At 39.6% G+C, this 12271-nt stretch overlaps 1 protein-coding gene across 16 annotated transcripts in view; it reads right to left on the reverse strand.

Moving 5' to 3' along the window:
• COL4A6 (collagen type IV alpha 6 chain) overlaps nucleotides 1-12271 on the reverse strand; it is a 283845-nt gene that overhangs the window by 43751 nt on the left and 227823 nt on the right. For all 16 annotated transcript variants that reach the window (XR_001755650.2, XM_047441813.1, NM_001847.4 and 13 more), the window contains 6 exons: nucleotides 10605-10640; nucleotides 7154-7216; nucleotides 6296-6331; nucleotides 6075-6116; nucleotides 4956-5048; nucleotides 3564-3617 (listed from right to left, as the gene is read on the reverse strand). Coding sequence is in view for 15 of the 16 variants with exons in the window: in XM_047441813.1 (XP_047297769.1) it covers nucleotides 3564-3617; nucleotides 4956-5048; nucleotides 6075-6116; nucleotides 6296-6331; nucleotides 7154-7216; nucleotides 10605-10640 (324 nt within the window). In the remaining variant the exon portion in view is untranslated. The remainder of the gene's footprint in view (nucleotides 1-3563; nucleotides 3618-4955; nucleotides 5049-6074; nucleotides 6117-6295; nucleotides 6332-7153; nucleotides 7217-10604; nucleotides 10641-12271) is intronic.

Genomic DNA, 12271 nt, shown 5'->3' on the forward strand with positions numbered 1-12271 from the left:
AAGCCATTCATATAAAGTACCTACGAATGTTCCCATTAAACAGATAGAGATATGAGGACTGAAGGAGTTACCTGATTTGGCCAAGGTCACACATTGAATCTGTGCCAAAGTGGGCTGAGAACTCTGGTTTCTTAATTCCCACCGTATGAAAACATGCTGTTCCATGTAAAGGGGTTATTTTCTAGCTTTGATGTCTTTACAATCAACTGGGGTTTCTATTTTTCAGCCCACACTCTGAAACACTGGAAATACTGAGTTTGAAATGGTACTGCAATTTATCACCGTGCATTGTCGTCAGTCTCTTTCTTTTACAGGACAAAAGGGAATGGGTTGAAATTGCAGCAGGGGAAATACTCTGGGTTCGGATGTGGAAGGGAAGGGGAGGGAGGCAGTGTGAGCCAGTGAAGCCAATAACACCAGAGGAGATCATAAAATCCTTTTCAGAGATTTACAGATAAAAACCCCACCACGGCAGGGATTAGAGCAAACTGGACTGTAGGGGGCAGTATGGTATGGGGAAAAAGCCACCAAATTGGCTAGAATTCAAGAAAGCTGAATTTCAATCTCAGCTCTGCTAATAATTAGCTGCGTGATTCTGGACAAACCTCTTCACCCGTTGAGGCTGTGGTTTCCTCATCAGTACAAGGAAGATAAGCCTGGCTCACCTTGCTTACCTCACAGGGACAATGCCAGGTGGCTAGAATCTATGTGAAATGCTCTACAAAGAAAGGTGAAAACCTTATTCCCAAACTCACTTGCAAAGTACTTTATATCTGTACTGTCCAATAGAAATATAATGTGAGCTACTATGTTATTTTCATTTTCCTAGTAGCCACATTAAAAAAGCAAAGTAAACAGAGATTAATTTAAATGATATATTTTACTTAACCAAATATATAATAAATATTGTCATTTTAACACAAGTAAAAAATGTTACTGAGATATTCTAGATTTCTTTTCATACTACGTTTTTGAGATCTGGTGTGTATTTTATACTTACAGTACATCTCATTTCAGATCAGCCACATTTCAAGGGCTCAGTAGCCACACATGGCTGGCTGTTATCTTATTGAACAGGACAGCCTTATATTTTGTAAAGAAACTTCGCATACATTATTAGTTGGGTCTTAAAAGAGTAGCTATATGCATGTTCTTACTCATATGCAGAAACTAAAAAAATTTATCTCATGGAGGTAGAAATTAAAATGAATAATACCAGTGGCTGGAAATGGTGTGAGTGTGGGGTGGGGGGAGAGATGGAGAGAGGTTGGTTAATGGGTACAAACATACAGTTAGACAGAATGAATAAGTTCTAGTATTCGATAGTGGAGTAGGGTGACTACAGTTAACAACAATGTACTGTATATTTCAAAGTAGCCAGAAGAGAGATTTGAAATGTTCCCAACACATAGAAATGATAAATGTTTGTGGTCATGGATATCCTAAATACCCTAACTTCACCATTACACAGTCTGTGCATGTAACAAAATATCACATGTACCCTATAAATATGTAGAAATATTTTCTATTAATAAAAAGTATAAATATGACCATTGTCAAATTACAGATATAAAGAGAGGTTCAGTGACTTGCCAAAGTCCCAGAGCAGGGGCTGGGTCTAAAGTTTGGGTGTTCTGTCTCCAACACTAGGGTTCTCTTCCTTTCTGGTTCATTAGATACAGAGGTGATTAAAATCAAGTGCATTGAACAGATGATTTTCCATGCCCCCTTTATTTCTATGGAGTAATAAGAATCATCATAGAAGGAACCTGTGCCACTGGCTCCACTGGCTCTGCTTTCTGGCCACCCAGAGAGACCCAAACTATCTCAAAGTACTGTAGGGAAGGAATGGAGTCATCTATCCCCACTGGCCCAGCAAGCACAGGCAGGCCTAGTCATCTTTGATTCATCCATTTCCCACCTGATCCCTATTCCCAATCCATGAAAATCTTGTCAGCTGTTTCAAAACATATCTTGTAATTTAAAAGACACATTAAACAAATGTAATGTATTGGTCTTGTTTGGCCTCTCATTGAAACAAGGCAACTGTAAAAATATATATATACCTATAAGACAATCAAAAATTTGAATTCTGCCTTGTTAACTGATATTAATTACTGATCACAAATTACTGATGATGATATTGTCACTATGTCTTAAAAAGCCCTTACCTTTTAAATATTCAGAGGTATTTGTGATGAAATGATATGATTTGCTTCAGATTGGCCATAAATTGCTAATTATTAAAACTGTGTGATGGGTACACGAGGAATCATTATGACATTCTCTCTGCTTTTGTAAATGTTTGAAATGTTCCCTAATAACAAGGTTGAACATTTTTACATTTTGAATCTATCCACTTCTTTCCATTTCCATTGCTGTCACTATAGTCTAAGTCACCACCACCATCTCTTGCCTGGACTACTGCAATACCCTCTGTGTTTGCTCTTCCACCCTTCCCATTCCCTCTCCCCTTCCTCCCACAGCCAGAGTGATCTTAACAATACAAGTCAGAGCCTTTGAACGGCTTCCCATTACATTAAAAATAAAACACCACATTGACCTATGAAGGTAGCCAAGATCTGGTTCCTACTTCTCTGTCTGGAATTATTAGCCTTGCTTACTCTGTTCCACTTACTCACCTTCTTACTGTTCCTCAAAAGTACTGAGGTTTTCTTAACCTCAAGGTCTTCGCACTTACGGTTCCCTCAGCCTTAAACCCTCTTTCTGATCTTCACAAGACGTGCTCTCTCATAATATGCAGGTCTCAGCTCATACATCACTTCCTCAGAAAGGCCCTTCTTGACCACTCTGTCCCAAGTAGACCACCCTGTTCCCCATCCACATTTCATCACTTTACCCTTCTTTCATCTTTTATATATATGAACTTATATAACCATTATATGAACTTGCTATAGATTCATCTGTTTACTGGTTTCTTGTTTGTTTTTTCCCTCACTCCCCCATTACAATGTAATCTCAAGGACAGGGACTTTTACTTAGTTACTGTTGTAACCTCCAAGTCCAGCAGAATGCCTGGCACATAGGGACCCTCAAAAGGTAACTGATGAGTGTAAGGATCTAAGCTAGAAAGGCAGATATGAAAGTGGAGGTAGGATTACTAAGATTAGCTACCATTAACTGAATAATAAGTGCTAGACATGTAGTAAGCCCTTTTCATGCATATTATCTCATTTAATCCTCATAACCACCCCATCATTCTCCCCTTTTTTGTAGGTTAGGAAACTGAGGCTCAGAAAAGTTAAGAAACTTATCCAGGTTCACATAGTTAGAAACTGGCAAAATCAGCAGTCAAGCCTAGGTCTGTTTTAACTATAGAGCTTGAGCTAATAACCTCTAAGGTATACAGCCTCATGGAGAACCATGCTTACGTCTCCATGTGTTTGAGAAACAAGAACATCTCCTTAAATACCTTCTAATAATAAAGATGGTGGCATTCTCTACAATATCCATGGGAAGAGGTCTTTCTGTTAGCCTTCTATTGCTACAGCTTTTGTCCAATCAGACCCTTGTATACATATTGATCAAATAGAGAGACTTACCGGGAAGCCTGGAGGGCCACTTATGCCTGGAAAACCCTTAGGCCCTGGTTCACCCTGGAAAATCAGCCCAAGGTTAGTAAGTAGCATCAGGAAGCAGTGAACGCACAGTAGGATGGCTCTCCACATGTACTTGGACTGAGGAGTGGGGAACCAATGAAGTATCAAGATTAGGGTAGCAGAGAGTGGTGCAGATTCCCCAGGCTCCCTAACTAGCAGCTGTACCAGGATGTCTTAGTTCATGGAGCTCTTTGCTGTGGGAGAAGGATTATGGACCATAACTGTCTAAAACAGAATGTCAAATACTGAGGCTAATTGGGAGACAGAAAGGATGATTGTCTGTTTTCTTTCTAGTGGAAGAAGCTGTTCAGTACAATTTCCTATAGCAAATTAGAGGCAGCAGAGAAATCCATAGTTTTGGGAAAAGGGTAACAATTACAATTTGGATAGGGACACATAACCATCTGATCTGTCATTCCCTGATATGTGAATTTATCTATACGTGCCATGGAAAAGCTCCCTAAGTTTTGGGAATGATCAAGGAAGCAGACAATCTCTTTCATGTTGCCAGACCATTCCCAAATCAACGACTACTTCCTGTAAACCTGGAGGGGCTTGGAGTTGTTACAGCTTCCACGAAGACAAATTTAAAGAAAGGAGACTAAACACATTTCCCTGCCTAGGCCCCTTGGCCATGGGAACTGAATCACAAAGCTTAAAGGAACCCTGGCAGGAAATGCAAGTTACTGAAAGATATCTGCACACCTTAACAGTACACGGCCATTCAATTACAACCATGTAGGTAGTATACAGTGACTCACATAAAAATACAGATCGTAAAATATTTCAGTCAAACAGGTCTATAGTGTAAGCCTTGGTAGTTCAGATCTGGTAAATTAGGGCATCTCTTGTCACCACTTGGTGACAGTATATCCTATTTTCAGGGTCAAGTTTTAAGAGCAAATAACTTCTTTAAAAAGATAATTCAAGAGCAACCATTCATACCCTATGTGTTCTGTCACAGTACTTTGGGGACACCATAAGTATTGAGAGGGTTGGGAGTTAGGAGGAAAAACACAACTATTTAATGTTTATGTTATTCATCATATCAAAAATTGAATCTGCAACACTAAAACAGAGAAAATAGCGCTTAAATGAATATTCAGATGCCCAGGCACACTCAAACCTACACACCAAGAAACATACTCAGCCTTTTAAGAAAGCTTTTCATAAGGGGCAAAACAAAGAAGGCTTTTTACTCTCACTTCTAAACAAAAATCCATTACCCAGAACCCTCTATTCTTCCAGTATTGTCTGGTTATTAGAGTTAAGTTCTTGTATTATAATTATAGGAAAAGTTTTATTAATTTTTTCCTATTCTTAAATGTTCACTACCTTGGATCCTTTCTTCCCTTTGGGGAATCCCATGAATTCCAGCTCTCCAGTAGATGGTGGAGGTCCTGCTGGGCCAGGGAGGCCAACATCCCCCTGTAAGATCAAATGGAACATTAAGCAAAGTGACAATCACACCGACCGTTTTTCCAGAGTGGGGGTTTGTCCTCTGGATGTAACTCACAAATAAACTGTCTCTTACTTTGGCCTCTTCACCCTCATGCCAATGAGGAAACAAAACTCTCACTGCCAAAGGGTGAGAAGAATTATAAGCCCGACCAGTGAATTTTGTACCAGCACTGCAGAGGGAAGAGCAAGATGGATAGAAGGAAACTTTAAGTTCATGGTTGCTATGAAAGGATGTTTAGAAGAGATTAAAAAAGGAATCAGAACGAGGTGAATGGCTACCTCTTGGCAACAATGATCCAACTCTAAGTGGTCTAATCCTTGCAAAGAGCACAATCAGAGGCAATGATGTTCATGTTAGAACATTGGAGGCAAGAGTTGTTCCTTCAGAAGGCAGTGCAATTGTAACAGAAGGGTGGGAATGGCAAGTTCTCAGCCTCGCTTGAGGCTCTGAAATCACAATGCAATTTGTAAAGAGAGAAATGAGAGAAGGAGGGAAATAAAAGAGAATGGTGAAAGAGAGGTTAAAGAAGAGAGATAGAGGAGAGAGAGAGAGATACAGAGAGAGAGGAGGACAAAAAGGAAAAGGAGGAGGAAGTGGAGGAGGGGGAGGAGGAGAAAGGGTAGAGAGAAGAGGGGAAGCAGAGACAAGGAAAGAGAAGGCAACAGAATACACAAAACACCAAGGAAAGACCCAGATGGAAGGAAGAGAAAGAATCTATTTCAAGGGAATATGTTTGTAAGACATACACCTTTCACAGGTAGGAAGCAGGGAAATAACAATATTTTGAAGGGAAAAGAACCACAATAGCCCATGTGTGGCATGTACACATGTAGCCCTCAAGAGATCCCACCAGAGGATCTATGTGGGTTGGGAAATATTCATTTCCCAAGGCGAAAAAACAAATCCTCTTACACAAGCAGGCACATGTGTGTAATCAGACACATTTCTTGCAGCATATGGAAGGCAGACTGTATTTTTTAAAAGCTGTTTACCTTGACTCCTTTCTCTCCTTGAAAACCTAGCCCCATATTCCCCTAGGGAATAGGGATATAGGGAGGAAAAACAAAATCGATTACTAAATAAGCTCTGGGAACTTAAATTGGAATGCAATCTTTTTTACCAGAAAGTAGGGTTAACCAAACCAGTATCTCTCTGGGAAATCCAGAGTACTTAGGAGTAGGAAGCAAAATGCCCTAAGACAAAGTATACTTACATCAGGACCAAGAGGACCAGGAGGCCCTGGAGGACCCTAGATTTTTTTTAAAAATAAGAAAGAGTTAGCACTTGTTAGTTTCAGTCAAAAAGAACACGGCATGTTGAGAGTCACTCCCCAGTAACTCAGCCATCTTTCCTGCTTTGGCATAGTAGATTCTAGCTGTCTTTCCTATGGTTCCCTTTTATCTCCTTTGAAATCCCCCAAATTGACCTGGTAATCACATTAATGCTAAGGTAGTGAAGACTTCATGTGTCATTCCTCCCAACAGGCCAGAAATTTTAAAATGATGACCTTTGGTGAAGCTAAGCCAAAGTACTGAGTAATGGGATTTCTTGCACTGGAGAGAACAATCTGGGGACACAGCTTTCCCAGAACCACATAGATGACTGGCTATGCTTTTCCTCTACCAGTGATGATAAACAGGTTTTGTGTCAGAAAAATGGGTAGGTAGGTAGAGCTGCCCAAGATGCAGTGTTAGGAAGGAATTTGAAGCTTCTTCAGTATTCAGGGTGGGTGATAGTGATGGTGGTATGATTAATTAGCAATACCTGTCATGGGTGAGGAAATGGAAGGTGGCAAGAAATGTGTCAGGGATCTGCCATCCCTGGGCTATACTTTAGGTTGAGCTAGGGTGGGAGGCTTTAGAGGCACAGATTGGATGGTCAGATAGACTCTGATAAATAACTCCAATAGCTCCTCGCAAGAGCATGCTTTACTTTAACCCTCCAAGAATGGAGGTTGCCCTTGCTCACCCAGGAGGACCTAAATTACACAGGTTTACATTGAATCCATAGTATGTAGGGAAAACAACCATGTGAACACTGTGATCACAAACTAGGCTTAAATTGATCTTACTTGTAATCCTGGTGGTCCTGCAGGTCCTACAGCTCCAGGAAATCCGGGTGCTCCTTGTGGGCCCTAGAGAGGCAAGTTTTTACCAAGTTCAAAAAGCAAGGCAGTTTTCCAAGAAAAATGAAAATATGTATGTCCACGAGAACTGTACAAGAATGTTCATAGCAACTTTATTCATAATAGTCAAAAATTGGAAATGTTCCAGTTGTCCAATGATACAAGGATAAACTCTGATAGATTCAAACAGTGGAATAAATGCCTACAATAAGAAGTAGCAAACTACTGATATATGAAACAATGTGGATTAATCTCAAAATCACTGTGTTAAGTGAAAAGCCAGACCCAAAAGGCTAGAGTTTATATCATTCCCTTTACATGAAGTTCTAGGACTGGCATAAAGGAGAAAAATCAGGATTGTGGTTGCCTTTGGGGTGAATTGGGGCAGAGATTGACAGGGAATGAGCAGGAGGGAACTTTCTGAGGTGATAGTAATGTTCTATACCTGAATAGAGGTTTGGATTACATACAAGTATGCATTTGTCAAAACTCAGCAAACATACACTTAAGAGTTAGGTGTTTCATTGTATGTAAATTTTATATAAAAAGAAAGAACTGCAAACAAATATTGAAGTCTAATTAAAGATAGGCATGCTATAGGATTTAGGAGTAACTGAACTCTTGTCTACTATTTACTTTGACATTCATTAAAAATAGGATGGATTAAACACCGCATGTTCACACTTATAAGTGGGAGCTGAACAATGAGAATGCATGGACACAGGGAGGGGAACAACACACATTGGGGCCTGTCGGTGGGTGGGGTAGGGGAAGGGAGAGCATCAGGAAAAATAGCTAATGCATGCTGGGATTAAAACCTAGGTGACAGGTTGATAGGTGCAGCAAACCACCATGGCACACGTTGTTTACCTATGTAACAAACCTACACGTCCTGTGCATGTACCCCAGAACTTAAAATAAAAATTTAAAAATAGGATGGATTGATGGACAGAGAGAGGGATGGATAGATAGATAGAAGGAGGATAAAGCAAGTACAGTTGGCCCTCTGTATCTGTGGGTTCCACATCTGTGGATTCAACCAACTGATTGAAATTTTTTTTTTATAAAAGGATGGTTGCATCTGTATGGAACATACGCAAATTCTTTTTTGTTACTATTCCCTAAACAATACAGTGTAACAACTTTTTACATAGTATTTACATTGTATTAGGTATTATAAGTGACTTAGAGATTATTAAAAGTATAGGGGAGGATGTGTATAGGTTACAGGCAAATATGACACCATTTTATACGAGGGATTTGTGCATTCATGGATTTGGGTATCCATGAGAGGTCCTGAATCCAATCTCCCATGGATACCAAGGGATGATGTATAGTAAAATATTAATGGTATGTGTGTTCATTGCAAAATTCACTCTACTTTGCTCTATATTTGAAATTTTTCCTATTAGAATGTTATAAAAAAACAAAAAATTTTTTAAAAAAGCAAAAGTTATATTAATATCAGATAAGGTAGGCTTCGAGACAAATAATATTATCAGAGATAAAGAAGGACATTTCAAAATGATAAAATAGGTCAATTTATCAAGAAGACATAACAATCTTAGATGCCTATGCACATAATAGCAGAGCTTCAAATTACATGAAGCAAAAACTAACAGAACTTCAAGTAGAAACAGTCAAATCTGCAATTACAGTTGGACATCTTAACATCCCTCCTTCCATAATGAACAGAAACACTAGACAAAAATATCAGTCAGGAAGGACATAGAAGATCCAAACAATAATATCCATTACCTTGACCTAATGGATATTTTTAATATCATTATACCCAGCAACAGCTGAATACATATTCTGTTCAAGTGCATATGGAATATTCACCAAGATAGACTGTATGCTGGACCATAAAATAAACCTTGACAAATTTAAAAGAACTGAAATAACACAGTGTTCACTGTAATTACAATAAAATCAAACTAGAAATCCATAATAGAAAGATAGCTGGAAAGTTACTAAATATTTGGACACGAAGCAACACACTTCTAAATATTCCATGGGTCAAAGAAAAAATCATAAGGGAACTTAGAAAATTTTTGAATCAAATAACAACAATGTTAAACATAAGACAGTGAAATCACAAGAGAAAAATGGTCTGGTGAAATGCAAGGGTCCATTTCCAATTGTGGAGCAGGAATAACTTGACATGGGCCTGGATAAGGGGCGGAGAGGGTAAGAAAGGTTGGAACTCAGACAGGAGGAAGAGAAAGGAGGGGTTCAAAGGGCCTCCAGAAATAAATGATAGTCTGAACATTGTTTTGAAAATAACTAGCCACCTGTGATCACCTTGCTGATCACAAATATCTTAGCCACCAAATGCCCTCTCCCCAAATTGAAGCAGTTTGTATATCATGCCTGTGTATGTGGACAAACATTGAGCCTTTGTGGGCAGGAAAACAAGTACCTAAGAGAAGCTATGCAGCAAGTACAGTGGATGTTGTTCTGTAAATTTAATGAATACACTATCTAAGCCAATTGTTTTGCCCTAGGGAATATGTATGGCCTTGGTCCTTATTCATCTCTGTTTTTGTGTGTGCTTGCACACATCCCATTTTTTTGCCTACTTTTTCTCATGAAACTCCGTAACTCTCTATTTAGAAAGTCTCCTCCCACTGCCAGCTAAACACCATTCACACTTCTCACAAGCTACCTTCTGTCTCTTAGACATAAAGACTCACATGACATATCCTTAAGTGAATGGCATCTCTTCCTCTAAGTTGCTGTGGAATTCTTATGCCACATTCCTACTAGTTTTTCCCACCCTTGGGGGCAGGGACTGTGTCTACATTGTCTCAGAGATTACTGAAAAAAGATAGAGCGAAGAAAGAAAGAGTGAATACAGGAAAGGGAAAGAAAGAAGAGGAAAGAAAGGTTTTTTTCTTAAGCTGTTTCAAAAAAAAAGTGACGACAATGTGGAATCTCAAAGAAAAATAATGCTCTTATTAACATAACTCACAGCCTTACATGGACTCACCATTATCAAGAGTCCCTAAAAGGAATTTCTGTGTGGAATACCTTTTAAAGCAATGTGCTCTACTTCTTTTGATTTACTCACAGCACTCGACAAACAGAAAACATTTAGTAAGTGCTTGCTGAAGGAAAGGCAAAATACATTCCTAGGGGAAAGTACATCCCAGTGAATACATGTCTCTGGCCTAAAGTCTGAAAGCCTGCTTGTCATGCAACTTGACAGTGGACAGTTCATCCTCTCAGTGCTTTCTCATTTGGAAAATGTCAATACTGTGACCCATTCTACTTCAACTGTCTAGATTTTCCTTGAGGTCTACAAAGACCTTAGAACATCATAGAGAAGAACGAAAATGCACCATTAGTGATTTTTAGTCAACACTGAGAGCTCAACACATAAATAACAACTTACAGTGATTCCATCCAGTCCAGGCAGCCCAGGATCCCCCTGAGAAACAAAGGCAGGACACTGAAGAGTTTAATAAATTAAGCCTGCAATATTTCAGATAACTAACCTAACATTTATAGGGACAAAAACACATCTCTGAACCTTGGGCCTCCTCTGTCAAAGTCTTGTGTTTTAAATAATGTATGAATTGGACATATTCGACTGTTTAGATTGTTTATTTTTTCTGTAAGAAAAATCTGGACTGTAGAAGACACATATTATAGCCTTGGCTGAACAGGATTTCACATTTTACTTGGATTAATTAATTTTCACCTTTGCTAGGTACTTATCAATTAGAAACTACTTCTGTGGGCTAGTGATTTTCCTACTCCTTTTGGAGGAAAGCAAAGCTACCTTCCTGTGTGCCTTCATCCCCAAAGATTCTGTGCCCATATGTATACGATGCAAATCGGTCATTTCAAGGGAAAATCAACAGAGCATACACTCTCTGATTATGTTTTAATTACTTTGCTGCATGTTTAGTTACTGCATGAATCAGTAATATAACCATCTTGTGAAAATTGTTGTGTTCCACTGGATCCAGGGTCTCTTTGATATTTGGCAAAGCCATTTAATCAATGTTTTCTAAGACAATGACCAAATTTTGACACCTGCTAGTCTTACTCCACTTGGCTTACAGTAAAAAATCAGCTCTCTGTAGCATGGAAAGAGCACTGCCTGAGTTTTAGCTCTTTAGTGAACTGGCTTTGAGCAAGTCACATAGCCTCAGTACACCTCAGTTTTTCTATCTGTAAAATGAGCAATACGAGTCCAAGAATCATGAGGTCCTTTCCAACTCAAACATTCTATCTTCTACTATGGCATCTATAGTTAGAAGCCCATACCCTAAATCTTGTCCGGCTCTCCAGCCACCCACCCCCATCACTGCCTTCCAAAGTGATTTCCAATGTTCCAGGCTCTATGCACTAATGGAAGACAGAAAAGTGCCATCAATTAGCTGAGTGAACTTGGTGCATCTTCTCCTCAGATGTTGGGCACATACATTCTCATTTGCTACCAGGGAAATGATGGACTCCTGCCCCACTCTGCAAGGGAATAGGGCCAATCATTTGGAGCCAGGGTTTACTTAGGCCCCGCAGGATATCAGGCAACACAGTCACAAGAACACAGAAGGTTCTTGTCAATTCTGGAAAGAGATGAAAGATTCCAGCCAGCCTCAGGGCTGATGGGCAATTTTTGCAGACATCCAGGGGCCCAGCTAGGGTGATGGGTTGGTGTGTAGTGACAGAGAAGGGCAGAACCAGGATCTTTGGCTAAAGGCCATGTTGAGATGGGCAGAGACATACATGGCTTCAAACCAAGGAATACAGACAACAAGGATTCTGGAGTAGATAAAAGGTATCTGCCTCCGGGAAATGTCTTGGTTTGTGAAAGAAAATGATACCCATGCAAACTGTTTGTTTGCTGATCTGTCTCCTATTTTTGGTCTAGATCCTGCAGAGCAAATCTCTTTGACAGTATAGTTGCAAACATTTATGTCAATGTTTCCACCACAAAAAGCTCCAGATTCTTTTGAATCCAGCTTGGTCTGCTCCTTAAATAGAGACACAGATGCTAGTTCTGGAAATGTTTTCACTGGAGGTGGGGCCCAATGCTGGGGAACCCAGCTT

Source organism: Homo sapiens, chromosome X (assembly GCF_000001405.40).
Source record: "Homo sapiens chromosome X, GRCh38.p14 Primary Assembly".
Classification (NCBI taxonomy): Eukaryota; Metazoa; Chordata; class Mammalia; order Primates; family Hominidae; genus Homo; species Homo sapiens.